At 42.5% G+C, this 26190-nt stretch overlaps 1 protein-coding gene and 1 long non-coding RNA gene across 2 annotated transcripts in view, besides 1 other annotated feature; both read right to left on the reverse strand.

Annotated features, from left to right (window-relative positions):
* The window catches only part of SLC35D2-HSD17B3 (SLC35D2-HSD17B3 readthrough), a 148406-nt gene that overhangs the window by 37887 nt on the left and 84329 nt on the right, over nt 1-26190 (reverse strand). The window contains exon 17 of the long non-coding RNA NR_182427.1: nt 25224-25270. This is a non-coding gene — a long non-coding RNA (SLC35D2-HSD17B3 readthrough). The remainder of the gene's footprint in view (nt 1-25223; nt 25271-26190) is intronic.
* HSD17B3 (hydroxysteroid 17-beta dehydrogenase 3) overlaps nt 1-26190 on the reverse strand; it is a 66871-nt gene that overhangs the window by 37887 nt on the left and 2794 nt on the right. Inside the window, exon 2 of the mRNA NM_000197.2 lies at nt 25224-25270. Coding sequence (NP_000188.1) covers nt 25224-25270 — 47 coding nt within the window. The remainder of the gene's footprint in view (nt 1-25223; nt 25271-26190) is intronic.
* Nucleotides 16085-16635: an enhancer, noted in NCBI's record as "OCT4-NANOG hESC enhancer chr9:99051559-99052109 (GRCh37/hg19 assembly coordinates)". NCBI's record gives its function as "activates a minimal SCP1, AML or CMV promoter by ChIP-STARR-seq in primed H9 embryonic stem cells {active_cell/tissue: H9 hESC(primed)}" and the evidence as "EXISTENCE:reporter gene assay evidence [ECO:0000049][PMID:30033119]".

A 26190-nucleotide genomic window follows, 5' to 3' on the forward strand; every position in this document is an offset into this window, starting at 1 on the left:
TAGGAGAAATTGGGTAAAGAATACATATTATCTCTCTATAGTACTATGAGATCTTAGTCCACACACCCCCATAATTTAACATTTATCCACCAATAAAATAGCTCTGGGAGAAGTCCTGATTACAAAGAAGTTTCAGCAATTCAGTGGAGCACAAAAACTGAGGATGAACACATAGAAATGCATGGAAAGCAATTGTATCTGTGTCACCCCATCTCCCAGTCTGGCACACCTTGGCTCCAAAAGGATCCCCTTGGCTGTGACTGTCCCTCATGGGAGAAAAGGAGAGCAGGATGACTCCAGCAGCCTCAGCCACCACAGACATCTGCCTCTTTTACCCTTGAGGACTTCAACAGTTTTCACAGATGCCGATCCAAGCCAATGGGCCTGCGTGGAGTCCACACCACTGCACCTACTCTGAAGAAGAAGCCACCACTCCAGCCTTGGCACCACCATGCCTGCACTGTACCCTCAACTCTGACACCAGGAGGGATCCCCTTGGTCATAACTTCCCCCATGAGGGAAAAAGGAGAACAGGAAGATCTGCATCCGCCTTCACTACCAAGACCCCACAATCTTTGCCAACACTAACCCAAGCTGACTGCTTGGAGTCCACAGCATTGCACACGCACCCCACCCCCAGGGCCAGAGTTATCGGTGCATTCTCCTAGAGCCAAAGCCACCACACAGAATCCAGCCACCTCCCTCACACTCAACCATAGGTGAGGGTGTTTCCCCACCAAAGCCAGTTAATAAAGACTGGAAGAGGTGATTTCTTCTTCAAATGCACAGACATTAATGCAAGACTCCAAGGAACATGAAAAATCAAGGAAACATGACACAACTAAAGGAACATAATAAATTTCCAGTAAGTGGCCCCAAGGAAATAGAGATCTAAAACTGTCTAACAAAGAAGTCAAAATAATTGTTTTAAAGAAGATCAGCAAACTACAAAAGAAGACAAATAGGCTGGGCATGGTGGCTAATGCCTGTAATCCCAGCACTTTGGGAGGCCATGGTGGGTGGATCACCTGAAGTCAGGAGTTCGAGACCAACTTGGCCAACATGGTGAAACCCCATCTCTACTAAAAATACAAAAATTAGCTGGGCATGGTGGTGCACACCTGTAATCCCAGCTACTCAGGAGGTAATCCCAGCTGGCTCAGGAGGCTGAGGCAGGAGAATCACTTGAATCCGGGAGGCAGAGGCTGCAGTGAGCCGAGATTGCACCACTGCACTACAGCCTGGGCGGCTGAGTGAGACTCCATCTCAAAATAAATAAATAAAAGAACACAGATAGACAACTCAACAAAATGAGGGGGGAAATACATGAATAAAATGAGAACAATAAAGAGGTAGAAATTATAAAAACAACCAAACAGAAATTATGCAGCTGAAGAATTTGATGAATAAAATGAAAAATGCAATAGAAAGCCTTAACAGCAGACTCAATCTAGCAGAAAAAAGAATCTGTGAACTTGAAGAAAGGACATTTGAAATTATCCAGTCAGAGACAAAGAAGAAAAAAGAATTAAAAAGATTGAAGAAAGCCTATAAGATTTATGGGACATAAACAAGCAACCCAGTATATATATTATGGTATTCCAAAGAGAACAGAGAAAGAAAAGGGCAACAGGCTTATGTGAAAAATAAGGTCTGAAAAATTCCCAAATCTTGAGAGGAAAATGGACATCCAGGTTCATGACTCCCAAATCACCTCAAATAGGATCACACAAATTAAGAATACTCTGAGACACCTGATAATTAAATTGTCAAAATTTAAGGACAAAGAGAGCATTTTGAAAGCAGCAAGAGAAAAGTTGGAACCCCCTACTAGCAGATTTCTCAGCAGAAACCTTGCAGGCAAAAAGAGAGTGGGATAATATATTCAAAATACTGAAAGGAAAAAAAAAAGCTGTCGACCAAGAATACTATACCCAGCACAATTATCCTCTTTAAATAGAGGAAAGATAACGTGTTTCCCAGACAAAAACTGAGGAAGTTCATCACCACTAGATTTGCCTTAAGAAATGCTTAAGGCAGGTCCTCAAATTGAAATGAAAACACACTAAACAACAACACAAATCATATGAAAGCATTAATCTCACAGGTAAGGGAAAATATTTGGATAAATATAAAATAATATAATAGTTGTAATGATGGTGCACAAATCACTTTTTGCCCTAATATAAAAGTTAAAAGATAAAAATTTGTTAACAGATACCCGGTATAAAAAGCAAACTTTACAGGCATGATGGCACACACCTGTGGTCTCAGCTACTTGGGAGGTTGAGATGGGGGGATCACTTTAGCCTGGGAAGTGGAGGTTGCAGTGAGCCAAGATCATGCCACTGCACTGCAGCCTGGGTGACAGAGTGAGACCCTATCTCAGAAAAAAAGAAAAAAAAAAGCAAACTCTTTCTACAAAAACACAAAGAGGGGAGAACAAAAGTGTGGAGTTTTTGTATGTAATTAAATTGTTATCAACTTAAAGTAGACAATTATAAGATATTTTATGTAAGCCTCAAGCTAATCACAATGAAGAAAAAGCAATAATCGATACAAAAAAGATAAAGAGAAAATAATGAAAGCAAATCAATGCAAAAAATCATGAAATAAAGGAAAACAGCAAAAGAGGAAGAGGGACAAAACAACCACAAAACAGACAGAAAACCATTTACAAAATGACAATAGTAAGTCCTCACCTATCAATAATTATATTAAATGTAAATGAATTAAACTCCCCAGTCAAAAGGCATAGAGTGGTTGAATGGACTTAAAAAACAAGATCCAGTGGTACGGTGTCTGCAAGAGATTCACATAAGCTGGGCATGGAGCATGGGGAAGTCAAGGCTGCAGTGAGTCATGATCACACCACTGCACTCCAACCTGGGTGACAGAGTGAGATCCTGTCTCATAAAAAAAAAAAAAAAAAAAAAAAAACAGAAGAAAGAAGACAATTCGATTCACAATAGCAACAAAAAGAAGAAAATACTTAGGAATGAACTGGTAAAAGACTTGTACGCTAAAATTTATAAAACATTAATGAAGGAAATGAAAGAAGACACAAAAATGGAAAGATGTCTGTGTTCATGGATTAGAAGATAGAAGAATTAATACTGTTTAAATGTGCATACTATTGAAAATAACCTACAGATTCAATGCAATCCCTATCAAAAATCTCAATGGCATTTTTTATAGAAATAAAGAAAATCCAAAAATTCATATGGAACCACAAAAGATCACAAATAGCCAAAACAATCTTGAGCAAGAAGAACAAAGTGGGAAGCATCACACTTCTTGACTTCAAAATATATTATAAAGCTACAGTAATCAAAATAGAATGCTTTACTAACATTAAAAAAGACATATAAACCAATGGAACAGAATAGAGAGCCTGGATATAAATTCACACATCTACAGTCAACTGATTTTTAACAAAGGTGGCAAGAGCACACAATTAGGAAAAGATAGTCTCTTCAACAAATGGTGTTGGGAAAACTAGATATCCGCATGCAGAAAAATGAAAGTGGAACTTATCTCACACCGTATACACAAATCCACCCCAAAGGGATTAAAGACTTAAATGCAACCTCTAAAGCCATAAGATTATTAGAGGAAGACATAGGGGAGAATCTTCCTGATGTTGGTCAGGGCAATTATTTTTTAGATATGACACTGAAAGCACAAGCAACAAAATAAAAATAGACAATTGAAATTGCATCAAACTGGCCAGGTGCGGTGGCTCACACCTGTAATCCCAACACTTTGGGAGGCTGAGGTGGGTGAGTCACAAGGTCAGGAGATCGAGACCATCCTGGCTAACACAGTGAAACCCTGTCTCTACTAAAAAGACAAAAAATTAGCTGGGCGTGGTGGCAGGCGCCTGTAGTCCCAGCTACGCAGGAGGCTGAGGCAGAAGAATGGTGTGAACCTGGGAGGCAGAGCTTGCAGTGAGCCGAGATCACACCACTGCACTCCAGCCTGGGCGACAGAGCAAGACTCCAGCTCAAAAAAAAAAGAAAGAAAATGCATCAAACTAAAAAGCATCTGTGCAGCAAAGGAAACAATCAACAGAGTGAAAAGGTAACCTACAAAATGGAATAAAGTATTTGCCAACTACATGTCTGATAAAGGATTGATATTCAAACTATATAAAGAGCTAATAAAACTTAATAGCAAAACAAAACAAATAACGTGATTTTAAAAAAGGAAGAAGGATGTAAATAGACATTTTTCAAAAGAAAACATACAAATGGTCAATAGGCATATGAAAAGATGTTCAATATCGCTAATTATCAAGGAAATGCAGATGAAAACCACAATGAGCTATCACTTCACACCTGTTAGAATAGCTACTATAAAAAAGACAAAAGATAAGTATTGGCGAGGATGCAGAGAAAAGGGAACTCTTGTATACTGTTGGTGGGAATGTAAATTGGTACAGCCATTAGGGAAAACTGTATGGAAGTTCCTTCAAATAATAACTACTTTATGATCCAGCTTCTGGCTATATATCCAAAGGAAATGAAATCAGTATGTCTTCAAGGTATTTGCACTCCCTTGTTCATTACAGTACTATTCACAATAGCCAAGATATGGAAGTAACCCCAATATCCATTAACAGATGAATAAGGAAAATGTGGCACACACACACACACACACACACACACACACACACAATGGAATATCATTTAGCCTTTAAAAAGAGAAGGAAATCCTGACATTTATGACAACATGGATAAATGTTGGACATGGATAAATGAGGAGATTATGCTAAGTGAAATAAGTCAGACACAAAGACAAATACTGCATGATCTCACTTATATGTGGAATCTAAAACAGTCAAGCTCATGGAACTACAGAGTAGAATGTTGCTGCTAGAGGCTGGGGGAGGGGTAAATGGTGAGATGTTGGTCAAGGGACACAAAGTTTCAGTTATGCAGGATGAATGAGATCTAGAGAACTAATAGACATAGTTAACAAGGACATAGTTAACATAGAACATAATTAACAAGGCTGTATTATATGCTTGAAATTTGCTAAGAACTGTAAATCTCGTTTTCTCACCCCTCCCAAAAAAGAACAAGAAAAGATCATGGTAATGATATGAAATAATAGATACGTTCGTTAACTTGATTATGGTGATTATTTCACAATGTATACATATTTCAATATATTAAGAAGTCATACACTTAAATATATACAATTTTTATTTGTCAATTATTCATCAGTAAAGGTGCAAGGAAATATTCAATATTTTTTAAGTTAAAGGAGAACAAAATAAATACACAAAAATTAGATGGCAGTGCTCTTGAAATGGGTGTGGGGATGTGTGTGGAGAGGGTGGGTGCTGCGTGGGGCTTGAGTGGGGCCACCCTGCTTGTGTCCAGCTGGGCTGAGTGATTGTCTAAGGCCACAGCAATTACACACACTCCCTAAGGGAACTCTGTCTACAACTAGGCAGAAATGATGGGAACCATGAATTTGATGGTAGGCCATGAATTTGATGTCTTTATTTGATGTAAGCCTATTTGGCTGCTGTTAAGTATTGGGTTTTTCTTATAACCTCCAGTAATTAGAAATAAATGAGGACTGTAGGTACCCTCCCACAAAACCCAGCCAGCAGATGGTGCCTTACAAGGCAAGCAAGCTTCAGACTGAACTCTACCACACCTAAAACATCAAGCTGGATCAAAGAGTCAGGAACCTGTTCTTGAAAGCTCAGTGGAGCCCCAGCTCTCTGACCCTTAGGCAGTCTACTAAATGTCTTGCATGAGGGCTCATCCCCGGTAGATAAAATATTCTAAGGGGTGGATACAGTCAACCTTCTAGCTAAATCACATGGCAGAATCCTCCACTACGTGGCAGGATGTGGGACCAAATCACAGTTCAAGGCCATGAATGCTACTCTGCTATACCCACAGATATTACACCTGTAAATCAAAAAGTGTCTGAGACAGGTCTCAATCCATGCTGAAGTTTATTTTTCCAAGGTTAAGGACATTCCAGTGGCACAGCCTCAGGAGGTCCTGCGAACATATACCCAAGGTGGTTGGGCTACAACTTGGTCTTACATGTTTTAGAGAGACATAAGATATCCATCAATACATGTAAGATGTACGTTGCTTCTGTCCAGAAAGGCAAAACAACTCAAAGGGGTGGGTGTGGGGGGACTTACAGGTCATAGGTGGATTCAAAGATTTCCTGATTGGTAATTGGTTGAAAAAGTTTATCTAAACACCTGGAATCAAGAGAAGGGAGTGTCTGGGTAAGATAAGAGATTGTGGAGACCAAGGTGTTTATTATGCAGATGAAGCCTCCAGGTAGCAGGCTTTAGAGAGAATAGATTGTAAATGTTTCTTATCAGACTCCCAGTTAATTCTCTCCTGAATCAGGAAAATGACCTGGAAAGGGAAGGGGATTCTCTACAGACCATAGATTTTCCCCACAACAGAGAGCTTTGCAGGGCCATTTCAAAATGTGTCAAAGAAATACATTTGGGGGTAAAATACTTTGATTTCTTTTAGGGCCTGCTGTCTGTGATGTTGGTATCTTATTGCTACAAAGAGTCTGCTTTGTCACTCTTTTTTTTTTTTAGATGGAGTCTCGCTCTGTCACCCAGGCTGGAGTGCAGTGGCGCGATCTCGGCTCACGGCAAGCTCCGCCTCCCAGGTTCACGCCATTCTCCTGCCTCAGCCTCCCAAGTAGCTGGGACTATAAGCGCCCGCCACCACCCCTGGCTAATTTTTTGCATTTTCAGTAGAGGCGGGGTTTCACTGTGTTAGCCAGGATGGTCTCGATCTCCTAACCTGGTGATCTGCCCGCCTGGGCCTCCCAAAGTGCTGGGACTACAGGCGTGAGCCACTGTGCCCGGCCTGCTTTGTCACTCTTAAGGTCTCTGTGTTGATATCAGCGGTGCTCAGCTGTGCCTGAATTCCAAAGGGAGGAGGCCGTAATGAGGCATGTTCAACCACCCATCTCCATCATGGCCTGAACTGGTTTTTCAGGTTAACTTAGGAATGCCCTTGGCCAAGAGAAGGGGTCCATTCGATTGGTTGGGAGACTTAGAATTGTATTTTTGGTTCACATACTTTTGTTCATTCAAGGGTAGAAGTGCCTGTACAACATTTTTTCACCAATCCACTTATTTTGAACGACTATTCCACAGTATAAATAATTTCCTCAGGAAAATTACTTATAACATCTGTTAGGCTAGCAAGCCTTCTAATGAAGGTCAAGTTAGCTGAGGCATAGATGTTGATGAACTCTGATTTGTCATTTTTAAAAATAACTAAAAACTCAATTTATCCAGGGTTCTGGCAGAAATAGCACACTCAAACTGAGTAATTTGGAGAGAGTTTAATATGAAGAAACCACAAGGGACAGTGCAATAGGGTGGGGCTGGCAACACTGAGCTGCTGTTACCATGTCAGAGGTATTTGAGCCACAGCAACTCCATCTTAAATAGGAGCTGGGTGAAATGAGGCTGAGACCTACTGGGCTGCATTCCCAGATAGTTGAGGCATTCTATGTCACAGGGTGAGGTAAGAGGTCAACACAAAATACAGGTCATAAAGACCTTGCTGATAAAACAGCTTGCAGTAAAAAAGCCAGCTAAAACCCACCAAAACCAATATGGCGAGGAGAGTGACCTCTGGTCATCCTCATTGCTACACTCCCACCAGCGCCGTGACAGTTTACAAATGCCAGGGCAATGTCAGGAAGTTATCCTATATGGTCTAAAAGGGGAGGCATGAATAATCCGCCCCTTGTTTAGCATATCATCAAGAAATAACCATAAAAATGGGCAACCCGAGGGCTGCTCTGTCCATGGAGTAGCCATTTTTTATTCCTTTACTTTCCTAATAATCTTGCTTTCACTTTATGGACTCACCCTGAATTCTTTCCTGCTCAAGACCCAAGAACCTTCTCTTGGGGTCTGGATCAGGACCCCTTTCCTGTAACATCTTTCTGGTGACCACAAAGGGATTATAGTGTGAAAACCCCCTTCCCAAAGCCTAACTTTGGGTAAGTGGTGGGGTCTGGTAACATCTTTCTCACTAACCCTGAAGGCACAATACTAAAGAAGCCCCAATACTAAAGAAGCCCCCGACCCAAAAAAAATAGACTACAGCACTGATTGGATGGCTTTGGGTAAGTGGGGCGCATTTACCCGGGTAAAGGATGGGGCTGGGTTAGAGGCCCAACTTAGGGGAGTTAGAGCCTCTCCTAAGACAGAGCAGGTTAGAGGCCCTTCTTAATAAAAGGCAAGGGCACTTGACTAGCCTTGGGTTAGAGTCCTAACTTAGGAGGGTTAGAGTCCCTTCTAATATTTAGGGGGTTAAAGTCCCCTCTCAGAAAAGTCCCTCTCGTAAAGTCCCTCTTGGCTAAGAATGGGTTTGGCCCTACGGGATGTTAACTGCTTTTCTCTTTGGAATAATCTGCCTTTCGCTCTTTGCTAATGGCTGTGGGTGACAGGATTAGGCATGTACAGCATTGTGGTACACGGGGAACTTTTTCCTCCCTAAAAGGGGGAACTTAAGAGCTGATGAGACTGCAGGAAAAGATCCCTTCACTACTGACAAGCAGCCACCTGAACTTTTCAGCGTTGCTGCAATGGGTGGTTTTTTCTCTGGGCTCTGTGAGCGTCTCGCCTCCCCCACCCTGCCTCAGGCAATGCTTTCCTTTCTGTCTCCCTCTGTCTCTCTGCAAACTGGTTAAATGGTAAAAATCACTGCTTGTCTCCTCTGTAAAGTTTTGATTAATGGGAAAAAGGATTTGTGAGGCTAGTCGTAAGCTGCAGCAAATTTGGTGTGCTTTGTGTGTCTTTCTATATTGTTCTGCCACAAAGAGGGGTAACTTAGGATAGAACATGGGCATAGGACACCTGTAAGCCCGCTTTTCAAGATGGCCCAGCAAACTGGTCAGTTATGTCCTTGGGAGCTTGACCTTGTAACCATATGGCCGTGCTTTCTCTTTTCAGAATGGTGGCCTGGGTTCAAGGTTTGATTCGTGTCTTAGGGATGAGTCCTTTATTCTCTGTCTGTGTATTTATATATGTTGCATATGTGATATAAAAGAGCTTTGATTAATTGGTTTAAAAATAATAAGCGCTTAAATCAAATATTTTATGAGAAAAGTAAAAAGTGTAATGTCTTTTAGTTCATGTGACTTAAGTAATCTTTGAGAAATAAAGATAGTTTTAAAAATATTGGTAAAATAAAGACATTTGGTCTAAAGTTAAATAGGTCAAATATTAAGTTTACTTAATGCTTTAAGGTCATAAACTGCTTCTTTGACTTTTGAAAATTGTTCAATTTACCTACTTTGGCGCATTAGTTCTAGATAAGGCCAGGGACATGTGGAGTTAGCCACACCCCCTAGCTATGCTGGAGTCAGCCCTCATCTGCACTTCTGCCTGGTGTGTCCTGAGCTAGGCTCCACACTTGGCACATGATTAAAATTGCTTCCTAACCAGGTTTTTCACCAGAAGTAAAAGTTGCTAAGGGTTAACATTGTAACGTGTAATTAAGACTACTGAAGAAACAGTTCTACCTGTAAGGCATGTAAGGAAAGCAGAATGTGTTTTTGGTAAAAGATAATAAGAAGTCATGGGAATGTGGATTTTTCTGCCTGGATTAAAAGGTTAAAAGTTTAAGGAAATTTTGGAAGGTTTGTGAAAAAAATTAATATTGTAAAAGAAATTCTGTGTGTAAACATATTGGCTAAAATAAGAGAAGTATTTTATTCAGTTTTTCTGTAAACTCAACATTGGAATAAAAGCACAACAGGTTTCTTTCTTTTTTTTTTTTTTTTTTTTTTTTTTTTTAGAGATGGAGTTTCACTCTTTTTGCCCAGGCTAGAGTGCAGTGGTGCAATTTCAGCTCACTGCAACCTCTGCCTCCTGGGTTCAAGCGATCCTCCTGCCCCAGCCTCCTGAGTAGCTGGGATTACAGGCATCCACCACCATACCCAGCTAACTTTGTACTTTTAGTAGAGATGGGGTTTCTCCATGTTGGTCAGGCTGGTCTCAAACTCCTGACCTCAGGTGATCCACCTGCCTCAATCTCCCAAAGTGCTGGGACTACAGGCATGAGCCACTGCGCCCAGCCATTTCTCTTAAAGCAAAAACCTGCTTATAATCTGCTCTTTAACAAAAATTGTAAAGGTTTATATAAGGTTTATGAAAATCTTACCTTATGGTCAAACTGATGAAGATTAAATATATTTGTCTATAAGGTTTTATTAAGAATTGAGTCTGACATCAATAATGCACTAATGCAAAAGTGACATTTGGCTTATTTGGTATAAAAATCATACAGGGAGCACTGTCAAATATAAAATAGTGTGTGGCTTTCTGTGTTCCAAAATAATGGGAAATTCCTATAATTCTGATATGACTTACTGTATGTTAATTAATAATTATAATTGTTACATAAAATCATTGTATGCCACAAAGGTAACCAAATTTCCTTTGTCAATCATGTTTTTTACTGTGGCTGTCCTAAAACTTTTTGTCATCCACAAAAAAAATTGTTGTCTTGTTTTGGTCCTCTTTGGAAGATGGTTTATAACTAGTTATAGAGCTCTAACAAGTGCTCTTAAATGCAGGTTTCTGATAACTTTGGAAATTGTGACATTAGAATAGAGGAAAAAACTTTCAGGACTCTCGTGAAGAGCTGAAATGTTCATGAATATCAAGCAGAACAGCAGTTAACCTGAATTGACTGAACCAGTAAAAGTCTAAAGTGGCTGGTGCAGTGGCTCCTGCCTGTTAATCCCAGCACTTTAGGAGTCCAAGGCAGGTGAATCACAAGAAATTCCAGACCAGCCTGGCCAATATGGTGAAACCCCATCTCTACTAAAAATACAAAAAAAAATTAGCTGAGCATGGTGGCAGGTGCCTGTAGTCCCAGCTACTCAGGAGGCTGAGGCAGGAGAATTGCTTGAACCTGGGAGGTTGCAGTGAGCTGAGATCATGCCACTGCACTCCAGCCTGGGTGACAAAGTGAGACTCCATCTTAAAAAAAAAAAAAAAAAAAAAAAAAGACTAAAGTAATCTTTTTAAACTTTTTGCTTAAAATGTTACTGTTTTGTTTTGTTTTTCAGAGTCAAGAAAACTTTTCTTTTGAGCTATTTAAAGCTTTTAACAATTGAGTAAAGTATACTACTGTGAACAAAATTTGGAGCACATTTGTTTCTCTCTACCTGATTTCTCCAGAATTTGAAAACTAGTTGCGAGTATTCTTAATTTAATGACAGTATAGCTATTTGCATAAGTGCAAAAAGAATCTGTTTTCTTTTGCAAATTGACACAATTAGAGAAACTGGTTATTTTACCAAGGCTTTAACTGGAATGGTGTGCTTTCCTTTAAGGAATCATACTTGACTTGTAAAGCCAGTAAGAGTCCATTGAGAAACTGGCCTCATACCTTGCCTACGCAGTGCCAGTACAAGGTTTCTGACCCATAGTAAGTAAAGAATATCACTTTCTAACAGGTCCAGAAGCCCCAAGTTATCTTGGGACCCCCAAGAGGGGAGGAATTTACTCAACTCATAGGTATTTGAGGGTACAAACCCATGACAGGGTTCAGCTCTAAAAAGTCTTATCGAGATTCCTTCTATGGAACAGAGTTTCATCAAAGCCAATTTTTTTTTTTTTTTGAAACGGAGTCTTGCTCTGTCGACCAGGCTGGAGTGCAGTGGCGTGATCCCAGCTCACTGCAACCTCTACCTCCTCAGTTCAAGCAATTTTCCTGCCTCAGCCTCCCGAGTAGCTGGGATTGCAGGCACCCACTACCATGCCTGGCTAATTTTTGTATTTTTAGTAGAGACGGGGTTTCACCATGTTGGCCAGGCTGGTCTTGAGCTCCTCATCTCAAGTGATCTGCCTGCCTCAGCCTCCCTAAGTGTTGGGATTACAGGCGTGAGCCACTGCACCCAGCTGAAGCCAATTTTTAAAAAAAGCTAATGTGAAAAATAATTATTCTTGCTGTACTTTATACAAATAATCAGGCCAAGTATAATGAAGCAAATCAGTCTTACCATGATTTGTCTTTACTAAAAATGGGAAAACGGAGAGAGAAATATTATGTTTCAAGAACTATGGTACACGTGTATCAAATTCTAGTCTCATCAGCTGTTTTTAAGTTTGTTTCTGCAATTTAGACTAACCCTGTTTATTCCAGTGAACCAACCAGTGATCTCTGACTGCTGTTCAGAAGAAATAAGAGGAATGGGTAATATAAAAATCTGAATCAGTCCTCTAATTCTGGGAACATTGGAATCAGCTAGCAACCCCGTATCAGCTTGGTTCCAACAGTTTCTCACTTCATGGAAAGCCTTCTAATTTAGTTTACTTGGGATAATTTTACTTATTTTGCTTTGCTGTTGTGGAACATATTGCAGTTGTACTCTTTGTGTAGGAATGCAGACAAGTTTGCTCACCGTTTTCTTAAATTGGACACTTACTAATCTTCCAGATACCACCTTTTGTTGGAACTTGGAGTTATGAATGACCCTCACAATATTGATGCCTTCTCACTGAGCTCCTCTCTACTCTGAATACAAGAGACCCTAATAGTTAAGCAGGAATATCATTGCCCCTATTCAGCCTGAAGAAGTTACAGAAGATGGATTTTCATCCCTCTGCAACCTTTAGGATTAAGGGTTCTCTTATGAAAGGGAGGGGAAAAATGTCAGAGGCGTTTGAACCAGAGCTACTCCATCTTAAGTAGGAGCTGAGTAAAATGAGGCTGAGACTTACTTGGCTGCATTCCCAGGTGGTTAAGGCATTCTAAGTCACAAGGTGAGATAGGAGGTCAACCCAAGATACAGGTCATAAAGACCTTGCTGATAAAACAGGTTAGGGCCAGGTGCAGTGGCTCATGCCTGTAATCCCAGCACTTTGGGAGGCCAAGGCGGGCAGATCACCTGAGGTCAGGAGTTCAAGACCAGCCTGGCCAACATGACAAAACTCCATCTCTACTAAAACTACAAAAATTAGCCAGGTGTGCTAGTGGGTGCCTGTAATTCCAGCTACTCAGGAGGTTGAGGCAGGAGAATCACTTTAACCCGGGAGGCGGAGGTTGCAGTGAGCCAAGATCACACCACTGCGCTCTAGCCTAGGTGACAGAGTGAGACTCTGTCTCAAAGGAAAAAAAAAACAGGTTGCAGTGAAGAAGCCAGCTAACACCCACCCACCCACCATAACTGGCTGGGCATAGTGGCCCACGCCTGTGATCCTAGCACATTGGGAGGCCAAGACAGGTGGATCACTTGAGGTTAGGAGTTCAATACCAACCCGGCCAATATGGTGAAACCCCATCTCTACTAAAAATACAAAAATTTAGCCATGCATGGTGGCACATGCCTGTAATCCCAGCTACTCAGGAGGCTGAGGCAGGAAAATTGCTTGAACCCAGGAGGCAGAGGCTGCAGTGAGCCAAGACTGTGCCACTGCACTCCAGCCTGGGCCACAGAGGGAGACCCTGTCTCAAAAAAAAAAAACAAAAAAAAAACCAAGATGGCAGGATGACAGTGACCTCTGGTCATCCTCACTGCTACACCCCCACCAGCACCATATCAGTTTACAGATGCTATGGCAAAATCAGAAAGTTACCTTATATGGTCTAAAAAAGGGAGGCATGAATAATCCACCCCTTGTTTAGCATATCATCAAGAAATAACCATAAAAGTGGGCAACCAGCAGCCCTCAGGGCTGCTCTGTCTATGGAGTAGCCCTTCTTTTATTCCTTTACTTTCGTAATAATCTTGCTTTCACTTTATGGACTTGCCCTGAATTCTTTCTTTGATGAGGTCCGAGAACACTCTCTTGGGGTCTGGATCAGGACCCCTTTCCTGTAACAACCAGGGGCCTGAAAGTGTTGGAGAAAGAACTGTGTAGAGACGTCCACCCAACAGGGGTGGTGACCTTCAGCAGAAGACACAAGCTGCCCTCCACAACCAGGGAGACAGCACAGTCTCCCGCTTTACTCTCCCTCTTACCTGTTGCCAGTGTTCCCCACTGGCCAACCCAGCTGAAACCAGAGGCCAAGGGAGCCCAGTGGTGCAGGTCAGCCTCCCAGGCAGAGACTGGACCCACAGGGGCAGGCAGGTGAGACCGAACACACCAACACACACAGCCACTGGGTGGAGCAGACAAGGGTGCTCCAGCTGCTACCCAACTGCTGCAGAAATGTGACTGTCGCCAGCCGACCTTAATGATAACTTTACTGGCCGGGCGTGGTGGCTCACGCCTGTAATGCCAGCACTTTGGGAGGCCGAGGCAGGCGGATCACGAGGTCAGGAGATCAAGACCATCCTGGCTAACACAGTGAAACCCCATCTCTACTAAAAATACAAAAAATTAGCCAGGCATGGTGGCACACGCCTGTAGTCCCAGCTACCAGGGAGGCTGAGGCAGGAGAATCACTTGAACCCGGGAGGCAGAGGTTGCAGTGAGCTGAGATCACACCACTGCACTCCAGCCTGGGCAAGAGAGCGAGACTCCGTCTCTAAATAAATAAATAAATAAATAAATAAAATTTTTTAAAAAGACAACTTTACCTTGCAACCCAGAGACTCCACTGCTAGGTAATCTACCCAAAGGAAAGAGAAAAGTGTCCACACAAAAACTCAAGTGTCAATATTCACAGCAGCATTATTCATAATAGCCAAAAAAAAAAAAAAAATGGAAACAACTCCAACAGTTGTCAACTGGAAAATGAATAAACAAAATGGAGTATATCCATACAATGGAATATTATTCTGCAGTAAAAATTAAAGAGCTATTGACACATGCTACAATATGGATGAACCTCCAAAACAATATGCTAAGTGGAAGAAAACAGTCACGGAGAACGGCATGTTGTATGGTGACCTTCATATGAAATGTCTAGAAAAGATCAGTGGCAGCCTAGGGCTAGGGATAGGAATGCAGGATTAATAGCAACCAGGTGTACCTGATCTTACTCGAGTGATGGAAATGTTCCAAAACCGGATGGTGGTGATGATAAACAACTCGGTTAATTTCCTAAAAATTACTGAAGTGTACACTTGGGTGAATTTTATGGTATATAAATTATATCTCAAAAAGCTGTTCAAGATTAAAAAACTGACCCACATGTATATGACACCATCGATCCTGAAGTTTTAAAAAGTCAATTATATTCACTCTCACAGGTGATTTTCAGCCATGACTCTGGAGAGCTGAAGGTGTTAACACCACAAAGGTATTGTCACAAGTTCCCCCCAACCTGCAATCTCCACAGTGAGGTTTCACTCCATTAAAAAGACAAGCAATTAGGCCAAGTGAGATAGCTCATTTCTGTAATCCTAGAGCCTTGGGAGGCCGAGGCAGGAGGATCACTTGAGGCCAGGAGTTCAAGACCAACCCAGGCAACACAGCAAGACACCCCCACCACCACCACCATCTCTACAAAAATTAAAATTAAAAAATTAGGCCAGGCTCGGTGGCTCATGCGTGTAATCCCAGCACTTTGGGAGGCCCAGGCCGCAGGATCACAAGGTCAGGACATCGAGACCATCCTGGCTAACATGTTGAAACCCCATCTCTACTAAAAATACAAAAAAAATTAGCCAGGCGTGGTGTGGGCGCCTGTAGTCCCAGCTACTGAGGAGGCTGAGGCAGGAGAATGGCGTGAACCCGGGAGGCGGAGCTCGCAATGAGCCGAAATTGCGCCACTGCACTCCAGCCTGGGTGACTGAGCAAGACTCCGTCTCAAAAAAAAAAAAAAAATTAAAAAATTAGCCGAGCATGGTGGCACAGCCTGTAGTCCCAGCTGCTCAGGAGGCTGAGGTGAGAGGGTCACTTGAGCCCAGGAGGTCAAGAATGCAATGAGCCGTGATCCCACCACTGCACTCCAGCCTGGATGACAGAGCAAGACCCTATCCCTAAAAAAAAACAAAAACAGAAAAAAAAAAGATAGGCAGTCACTAGATGCTGCATCAATTGTTTCTTTAAACAGTTGATTTCCTGGTGTGTGTGTGTGTGTGTGTGTGTGTGTATGTGTGTGTGTATGGAAGTGGGTAATGGGGGAGACTGCGTGTGTGGGGGCAGAAGGCCTATGGGAAACCTCTATACCATCTGCTCAATTTTTCTATGAACCTATAATTGCTCTAAAAAATAAAGTCCATTAAAAATGTTTTTTCATTTTAAAAAGAACACTAAACCAAGGACAGTCCTATTTCAAGACTGACCCCTGCCAATGACATCCCCAAGTCTTCTCTCTTGTTCTCTCCATGGAAAATTCCCTACCCCCACCTCTAGCCTCCATTTTTGAGTCTTGGAATCCATCAACAGGATGGCTAAAGAATTAAGCACCTTTGTCTCCCAATTCACTTCATCAGCCTCCTGAAGAGGAGATTGCCCAATAAATGAAAGTCCATTTGCATTTTCAGCACAAAGGATGCTCTTTGCCTGGTGGGCTTGTTTCTCTCAAGAGCCACAGGCCTTTTAGAGGTTCCATGTGAAGTGGTCTGGGCCAAGAGGGGGGCGCCCGAGAACACTTGGTTGTCTGGGCTGGCATTGTTCCCTTTGTCTGCTTGAACAGGACTCAATCTTATTTCCAGAATGTCCAGGCTGACAGGCTCCATACACAGGTTTTGCCACCCCCTTTTCAGAAAGTTAAGCTGCAAAAGCCTCCCTTTCCCAGAATTCACTGCCGGGGCCCCATCCTGATGCAGAACGGCTGCCGTGGGATGAATGGGCCTTGTTTTCCTTCTCCTGTATGTTGGGGCCTGGGTCAAGGAAGGTGCTTGTAGCTGCTAATCTACAGCGGGTAGTGGGAATGCCAGGAAAAACAGGGCTTCCTCTGTGTGGCCAAGAATAAAAGAAAGGGCTTGAATTCAGGTGCTACAGGAGTGGAAACGGTGTGAAAAATAGGGTGAGCAGTGGCTTCAGAGGTATGGAAGAGTGGGCCCACTCTCTTCCTCCCTCCACCCCAGGCCCATCCCTCTCCACAATTTTTTCCCACCTGCCTCAAGTAATGCTTGAAATTCTTTTAACAGGAAGCAAAGCCTCTCCTGCCACTCTAAATGTAAACGCAGATTCGGTTAAATGCAGTGAAGAATAAGCTTCTGGAAGGGCGGAGGAGAAGTGCTTTCCCTATTCCCACCATTAAGTCCATCAAAAAAAACCTGGACACAATACATAAAACAAAGAGAAGAAGACTCCAGATGTGAGAGGAGGTTCATTTAGGGGCCTCGGAACCTGAGGAAGGGCACTGTGGTATTTCCTGGGCTTTTTTTTTTTTTTTTTTTTTTTCCACATATCCCAGACATTGCTGGAGAAACTGGCAGTTTAGAAATGCCAACAGATGCAGTTATTAAAAAGTCTCGCTGGGCACAGTGGCTCACACCTGTAATCCCAGCACTTTCGGATGCCAAGGCAGGTGGATCACCTGAGGTCAGGAGTTTGAGACCAGCCTGGCCAACATGGTGAAACCCCATCTCTACTAAAAATACAAAAATTAGCCAGGCATGGTGGCGGGTGCCTGTAATCCCAGCTACTCGGGAGGCTGAGGCAGGAGAATCACTTGAAACCAGAAGGCAAAGTTTGCAGTAAGCCGAGATCGCGCCACTGCACTCCAGTTTGTGTGACAGAGTGAGACCGGGCAAAAGAACGAAACTCTGTCTCAAAAAAAAAAAGTCTCAACAAAAGCCTGCCCTCTCTAACTAGAGGACCAGAAAAGGGGATGTCTAGTGAGACAGAAAACATTTAGACAGCAACTGTCTACTCCAAGCAAACACCTTGGGAAAAACTATGACCCCACCCACACCCCTGCCAGTAAAGGCTGGGTGGGGAGCTGGGTCTTCCACGCTGGTGAGGCTCTGTAGCAAGGATCCTGGGACTTTCATTGCAGCTGCCACCATCCCCGCGAATGTCTGTGGAGATCTGAATTCCACCCCCACCTGGCAGTAACAAGGCACCTCTTCCCCTCTTTGTCCTCTTCCTTTGCCAGGGATGATAACAGAGGAGGCCTCATGGAGAGCCAGGACTTTCACCACTGCCCAGTGGAACGAGGCCACCTCTCCCAAGTGTCATCGGAGGCCTTGTGGAGAGCAGTAAAGAAGTGTTTCTGCCCCTCCCAGCCAGAGTGGTATCAGCAGAGGCCCAGGAAGAAGCCAGAACCCCACCCCCACCCAACAGTAAGAAGTAGGCAGCTCTCCACAAGTGGAGAATTGAGCCCCCACTCCACCTGGTAGAAACTAGTCAGTTCCCCCTCCTCTCCCTCCCACAGCAATGTCAGTATGGACCAATATAAACCAAAGATTTAAATAAGATCCAGAGTCCCATAACGTAAAACCAAAATGTTGAGGATTCAGTCAAAAGCCACCCATCATTCAAAGAACCAAGATCTTAATCTGAATGAGAAAATACTAACAACAGATGCCAACATAGAGATGACACAGACATTAGAATTATCTGACAAGGTTTGGAGCATAAAAATGCTTCAGTAGGCTGGGTGATGTGGCTCATGCCTGTAATCCCAGCACTTTGGGATGCCACAGCAAGCGGATCACTTGAGGTCAGGAGTTTGAGACCAGCCTGGCCAACGAGGTGAAACCCCGTCTCTATTAAAAATACAAAAATTAGCTGGGCGTGGTGGTGGGCACCTGTAATCCCAGCTACTTGGGAGGCTGAGGCAGGAGAATCACTTGAACCCGGGAGGCAGAGGTTGCAGTGAACCAAGATCGCACCATTGCACTCCAGCCTAGGTGACAGAGTGAGACACCATCTCAAAAAAAGAAAAAAAAAAGTTCAATAAACCATTATAAACACACAAAACAAATGGCAAAAATAGAAAAATCTCTGCAAAGAAATAGAAGATGTAAGGAAGAACCACATGAAAATACTTGAACTGAAAAATATAATCACTAAAGTTAAAACCTTGATGGATGGGCTCAGTAGCAGAAAGAGTGGGACTAAGAAAAGAATCAATGAACTTGAAGATTAAAAAAAAAGCAATTACCCAATATAAGCAACAGAGAAAAAATACACTGAAAAAATTGAACAGAATCTCAAGGGCCCATTGAACTATAAAAAGGTCTAATATTCATGTCCATTGGAGTGTTACAAGGAGAGAAGAGGGCAGGGCTGAAAAAGTATTTGAATAAATAATGGATGAAAGTTTTTGAAATTTGTTTTTATTGATTTATTTATTTTTTGAGATGGAGTCTCACTCTTGTCACCTAAGCTGGAGTGCAATGGCACAATCTTTGCCTCCTGGATTCAAGCAGTTCTGCCTCAGCCTCCCAAGTAGCTGGGATTACAGGTGCCCACCATCATGCCCAGCTAATTTTTGTATTTTCCGTAGAGACAGGGTTTCACCATGTTGGCCAGGGTGGTCTTGAACTCCTGACCTCAGGTGATCCATCCGCCTCAGCCTCCCAAAATGCTGGGATTACAGGCAGGAGCCACCACACCGGGCCCAAATTTGTGAAAAGATGTAAACCTACAGATTCAAGAGGCTGAGTAAACCCCAAACGGGTAAAACCAAAGAAATCCATGCCAAGAATCATTGTATTTAAACTTTTGAAAAATAAAGACAAAGAAAAAATTTTGAAAGCCAAGAGAGAAACACTCCCCTGTTTATTGGGGAAAAGCAATTCAAATAATATCAGATTTCTCATAAGAAGCCGCAGAGGCCAGAAGGAAGTGCCACAGTATTTTTCAAGTGCTGAAAGAAAAGGACTGTCAACTGCAAATCCTGTATCTAGCAAAACAATCTTTTAGGAATGAAGGGGAAATGAAGCCATTCTCGAATGAAGAAAAACTAAGATAATTTGTTGCCTGCAGACCAACCCTAAAATAATAGCTAAAGGAAATTCTATAAACAGAAATAAAGTGACTTAAAAAGGAATCTTGGGACATTGGGAAGAAAGAAAGAGCAACAGGAAGAGAAAATACTGGTAAATACAAGATATTCTTCTTCTCTGTAGCGGTGAACATTGTGTTTCAACTTGACTAGGTCATGATACCCAGCTACTCCATCAAACATTATTATGTTTCTGTAAAGCTATCTTTATATGAGATTAACATCTAAATTAGTAGACTTTGAGTAAAGCATATTACACTCCATAAGGAGGGTGGGCCTCGTCTCGTCAGCTGAGGGCCTTAAGAAAACAAGATTGACCTTCCTGGAGGAACAGGGAATTCTGTCACCTGATAGATGGCCTGTGGACTTGAACTGCAGCTTTGCCTCTTCTTGGGTCTCCAACCTGCCAGCCTACACTGCAGATTTGGGACACACCAGCCTCCATAACCATGTGCGTCAATTCCTTCAAATAAATCAACCTTTCTCTCCTCTCCCTCTCCCTCCCTTCCTCTCCCACTCTTCTCTCTCTGTCTCCTTCCCTCTCCCTTCCTCCCCACTCTCTTTCTCTCCCTTCCTCCCCTGCCCCCACTCCCAGCTGTCTCTATGTGTCTGTGTGTCTGTGTGTGTATGTGTGTGTGTGTGTGTGACACACATCCTATTGATTCTGTTTCTCTCGAGAACCATGACTAATACATTCTCAAAAAATAAAAAAAGCCGTATATGTGAAAGGAATCACAGTTTAAATATCCAATAAGAACAAAACCTAACCTTGGAAAGCTTACTCTGAGCAAACCATTTTGCCTGTCTCATCCTATTTAACCCTTACAAAAACCTAGGTGAGACTGTTATCACTTCCAGCTCATTGATGTGGAAATTCAGCCAGTGAGCCTTGGAGGGAGGCTTTGACACACATCTGATCAATTCCCAACCTCAGGCTTTTACCCATTACAGTCCACAGCATCTCAGGCTCAGCTGCACTCCTTGGAGCAGCAGTTAGCAGGGAGAGAACAGGATCTCTGGAAGGGAGAAAAGCCTACATGAAGGAGAGGTTGGGAGCCCAGAAAATTGTTTAACACAGCCTCAGTAAAGAACATAAAGAGGCTGGGCACAATGGCTCACGCCCATAATCGCAGCACTTTGGGAGGCCAAGGCAAGAGGATTGCTTAAGCTTAGGAATTTGAGAACAGCCTGGCAACAAAGTGAGACCTCATCTCTACAAAAAAAAAAAATTAAATAAAAAGGCAAAGAGGAAAAAAGTCCACAAGGAGAAGTACAAAGCAAGAATTCATCAAGGACAGAACACAAAGTTGGCAAAGACCCAGAAGCGCAGAATGGATGTGTAACTTGTCCAAAATCTCCAGACAGCATCATGGTGAAGACTGGAACCCACAGCTCCTGACCCCCAGGGCCATTGCTTTGTGAAACAATAAAGAAATGAATGGCTAAGGACAGCTTCCACATGGGGTCTCCCCTAAGCAGAAAGAAGAGTGTCTGAGTCTTGCGATAGCAAGGGACCACAGGAAGGTCAGGTCAGCATGAACTTGAGAAAAGATTCTGGAGAATCGTGAAGAATTGCTTGGCAATCCAGGGAACTTAGAGGTAAGGTGAAGAACCTTTTGGTTGACATATTAGGTCTTTCCAAAACCTGGTCCAGGGTGAGAAATCGTTATATAAAAGGTTATATAGTTTTAATGCAAATAGCTAGAAACATTTTCCTTCTGATTTGGGGGAATGGAAGACACATTGTTTTGAAAAGTGACTGCTGGGTGGTCTCTCCAACTTCAACACTCAAATATGACCACTCATCTACCGAGTGTCAGCCACTCCTGTTCACCAGTAAGTTGCTATACATGAATTAGAATAAAAGCAAATAACTCCTTATCTTAAAAATAAACAGAGATGAGATAGAAGGGTCAGTGTCAAAAAATCATCAGCAGCAGATGAAGGACGGGGGTCAGACACGAGGAGCTTTTTTTTTTTTTTTTTTTTTTTGAGATGGTGTCTCGCTCTGTCGCCAGGCTGGTATGCAGTGGCACAATCTCGGCCCACTGCAACCTTCACCTCCTGGGTTCAAGCGATTCTCCTGCCTCAGCCTCCTGAGTAGCTGGGATTACAGGTAAGCACCACCACGCCTGGCTAATTTTTGTATTTTTAGTAGAGACGGGGTTTCACTACGTTGGTCAGGCTGGTCTGGAACTCCTGACCTCATGATCTGCCCACCTTGGCCTCCCAAAGTGTTGGGATTACAGGCGTGAGCCACCACACCGGGCCACAAGGAGTTTTTTGGTTTGTTTTTGTTTTTGTTTTTGTTTTTGTTTCAGACGAAGTCTCACTCTTGTCCCCCAGGCTGGAGTGCAATGGCACAATTTCAGCTCACTGCAACCTCCACCTCCTGGGTTCAAGCAATTCTCCTGCCTCAGCCTCCCAAGTAGCTGGGATTACAAGCACCCGCCACCACACCCAGCTAATTTTTGTATTGTAAGTAGAGACGGAGTTTCACCATGTTGGCCAGGCTGGTCTGGAACTCCTGACCTCAGGTGATCCACCCTCCTCGGCCTCCCAAAGTGCTGGGATTACAGGCGTGAGCCACTGCGCCCAGCCCACGAGGAGCTTTTTTAACTGACATGCTTGAGGTTTGTTAACATACGCCAAGTTTCTAGCAAGTGCGTCCCAGATGCCTTGCACTGCTGTTTCACATAAGATGGCTTTGTTATGATGCAAGCCGTCTGGGACAAGAAAAGGCATGGGTACTGTACTGTAGTTGAATGCATTTTTCATATGAACCGAATGTTTTGTGGCCCCCCCAAAATTCATATGCTGAAATCCTAACCCCCAATGAGATGACACTTGGAGGTAAGGCTTTCAGGAGGTAATCAGGTCATGAGAGTGGGGCCTTCACGATGAGATTAATGTCCTTATGGGAAGAAACACCAGGCCAGGCATGGTGGCTCATGTCTGTAATCCCAGTACTTTGGGAGGCCGAGGCAGGCAGATCACTTGAGCCCAGGAGTTCAAGACCAGCCTGGGCAACATGGTGAAACCCTGTCAGTACAAAAAATTTAAAAATTAGCCAGGCGTGATGGCACACGCCCGTAGTCCCTGATACTCAGGAGGCTGAGTGGGAGTATCACTTGAGCCCAGGAGGTTGAGGCTGCAGTGAGCTGTTTGCACCACTGCACTCCAGCCTGAGCAACAGAGCAAGAACCTGTCTCCAAAAAGTAAAAGAAGAAGAAACATCAGAGAGTTTGCTTCCCCTCTCTCTGCTCTCTGCCGTGTGAAGCTACATCAAGAAGACAATTGTCTGCAAACCAAGAAGAGAGCCCTTGCCAGACATCAGATCTGCTGGCACCTCGCTCTTGGACTTCCCAGCCTCCAGAACCCTAAGAAATACATGCTTGCTTAGGCCACTCAGCTTATGGAATTCATTCTGCAGCTGAAGCTGATGAAGACCACATCTGTCTCAGAAATGGGTGTAATTACTATAACATAGTGGAAAGCACTGGAACCTTACATATATTCACAACCTCTAACCCAGCAAGACCACCTCAAGAAAATAGCTCCCAAAATAATTGGATATAAGCAGAAAAGTTTCTGTATTTACTCCCAATTTTATATAAAATGAAGAAAAATTCAGAAAAAAATTAAAATTTTTACCAAGAAAATGGTTAAATTATGGACCATCCATTTGATGGAATATTATGTTGCCATTTAAAAATCAGGGTTTTCGGCAGGCTGCAGTGGTTCATGCCTGTAATCCCAGCACTATGGGAGGCCAAAGCAGGCAGATAACTTGAGCTCAGGAGTTCAAGACCAGCCTGGACAACAGAGGAACAGTGAAACCCTGTCTCTACAAAAAATACATGAGCCTGTAGTTCCAGGAGGACACATTGCTTCGGGAGGCTGAGGTGGGAGGATTGCTTGAGCCCAGGAGGTCAAGGCTGCAGTAAGCAGTGTTTGTACCACTGCATTCCAGCCTGGGCAACAGAGCAAGTGTCTCAAAAAAAAAAAAACCCACAGTTTTGACATAAGAAAATGCTCACAACTAATGTAACATTTAAAAAATAATGGTATGTATAATCTGGGATTTGAGATAAATTTAGGAGAAACTGTTAGGTTTCAAATATCTTTCTCTTCAAGAATGTGGTATTTTTTTCTCTTATTTGGAATATCTCATATTTCTCAATGGAATTTTACAGTTTTCTTGAAAAAGACCTACAAATTTTATGTTAACTGTATTTCTAGGATTACTTATTTTTCTATTGCAAATGGAAAAGCTTTTCATTATATTTTTAAGGTGTTATTGATTTCTTTTTTTTTTTTTTTTTTTTTTGGAGACAAAGTCTTGCTCTATTGCCCAGGCTGGCGTGCAATGGTGCGATCTCAGCTCACTGCAACCTCTGCCTCCCAGGTTCAAGAGATTCTCCTGCCTCAGCCTCCCAAGTAGCTGGGATTACAGGCACCTGCCAACACACCCTGCTAATTTTTGTATTTTAAGTAGAGATGAGGTTTCACCATGTTGGCCAGGCTGGTCTCGAACTCCTGACCTCAGGTGATCCACCTGCCTCGGCCTCCCAAAGTGCTGGGATTACAGGAGTGAGCCACCGTGCCCAGCTGGTGTTATTGATTTTTAAACAGCTTTCCTCTTACAGTTTCTAGAATTCTTTCTATTCTTCTATTGTATTTGACATGGTTCTAGACATCAGTGTAATAGGCATAAGGAAGAAATAAAATACATAGGAATTCCAGGAAACAATGTTTCATTAATAAAAATGTGAAATTTATAATTATAATAGCATATAAAACCACATATGTTATAAATGCATTTTTTAAAGTATAATTATCAATCTATCTATCTACAGAGAAATAAGCGTGGAAGCAAATACTCAAAAATACTAATTGTATTCTAGTGACTCTCAGTTCTATTAGACCTTCTTTTTATAGAATATGCTATAATGCCATTAATGTCCTTGAAATGAAAGTCACTGATAATATGTTTTGCCTAAGCAAGTGACTTTTAAAAAATCAATATATGCCCTAGCTTAATGTAAATAATAAATAAAAGGAAAGTAGTTTATAATGTTTTGAAAAAATTAAAGTATATAAGCTGATATGGCACAATTACACTAGAAAATACCAATGCCCCACAAATTCCCAAAACAATCCCTAAGGCAAGGTACTGTCACCTTTGAATATCATTGTGTTTAAAAAAAGAGATCCAGGGAGTGAGATTATTATTTTTGTTTGCTTTTCCATAGAGTATATTTTCTCCTTTAAATGAATGCATACTGCTTTTATATTCAAAAATCTAGTGTTGGGGTGGATGTCTCAGGACTGTGATTGTTCAATACAAGGGAGGAGAAAGTCCCCAGGAAGATAGCTTACCTCGAACGAGTACGCTTTCCCAATTCCATCGCCTGCTCCAGTGATCACTGTGAAAAGCAAGAATGCTTTTAAAAGACAGAATTCATCTTTAAACTTCTCTTTCTCACTGGCCACGTTTTCTCACAAGCCTAGTCTCCAGGGCAGTCAGTACTCCAAAGGTTCATCCCTTTGCTCTCCAGCCCACGCCCTTGAAGCCCCTCACTAAACATTCAGGTGAAAGGATTGTTTGGTTGGTGGGTGGGTTGGTTGGTTGGTTGGTTTGTTGGTTGGTTGGTTGGTTGGTTAGTTGGTGTTTTGGAGGGATTGGCGAGACTGTGGAAAACATGTTCCAAAATGAAACAGATCCGCAGCCAGGGAACATTTCCTGCAGGCCCCATGAGGATGCAGATATTGTGAGCCTTCACCCCACAAGGGCAGGCAGTGTTCCCCATTATCTCTCTGCCCAGGCACCCATCTGTCATTGTAAGGACATTTCAAGGTTCCTTCTAAAAGTGGAGCTCTGCCCACTTCTCACCCCCACCCCACAGCAGCAATTAAAGGCCTATGGAAGGTAGGGAATTTAGCAAAGAGGAAAATACCAAAATGCAAAAAGAAAATGCAGTGAAATGAAGAAACCTGAAGAATTTGTACTCAATAGAACTATCTGTTAATATACAACAGTCAAATAGGTCTGCTAGTCCTTTCATATCAACATTACAGACATATTTAATGATTGAGCTCTAGTATACGCTTCATTCGTGAGAACGTCACAATTTCAAAATTCACTACAATTCGGTATATCGTAAAACTTACAATTTACCCTTGCAACAACAATTAAAGGGCATGCTTTCAAAAAGTGTGAACAAAAGGTACATTTAGCTCACCTGAGAGTGAGTGCAGGCCAAGCTGTACAAGCCTCACGGACCACACTGGCTTTAATAATTACTAATGATGTGTCTGTTCGTTTAGGAACTTCTAAGAGGCTCCA

Source organism: Homo sapiens, chromosome 9 (genome assembly GCF_000001405.40).
Source record: "Homo sapiens chromosome 9, GRCh38.p14 Primary Assembly".
Taxonomy (NCBI): domain Eukaryota; kingdom Metazoa; phylum Chordata; class Mammalia; order Primates; family Hominidae; genus Homo; species Homo sapiens.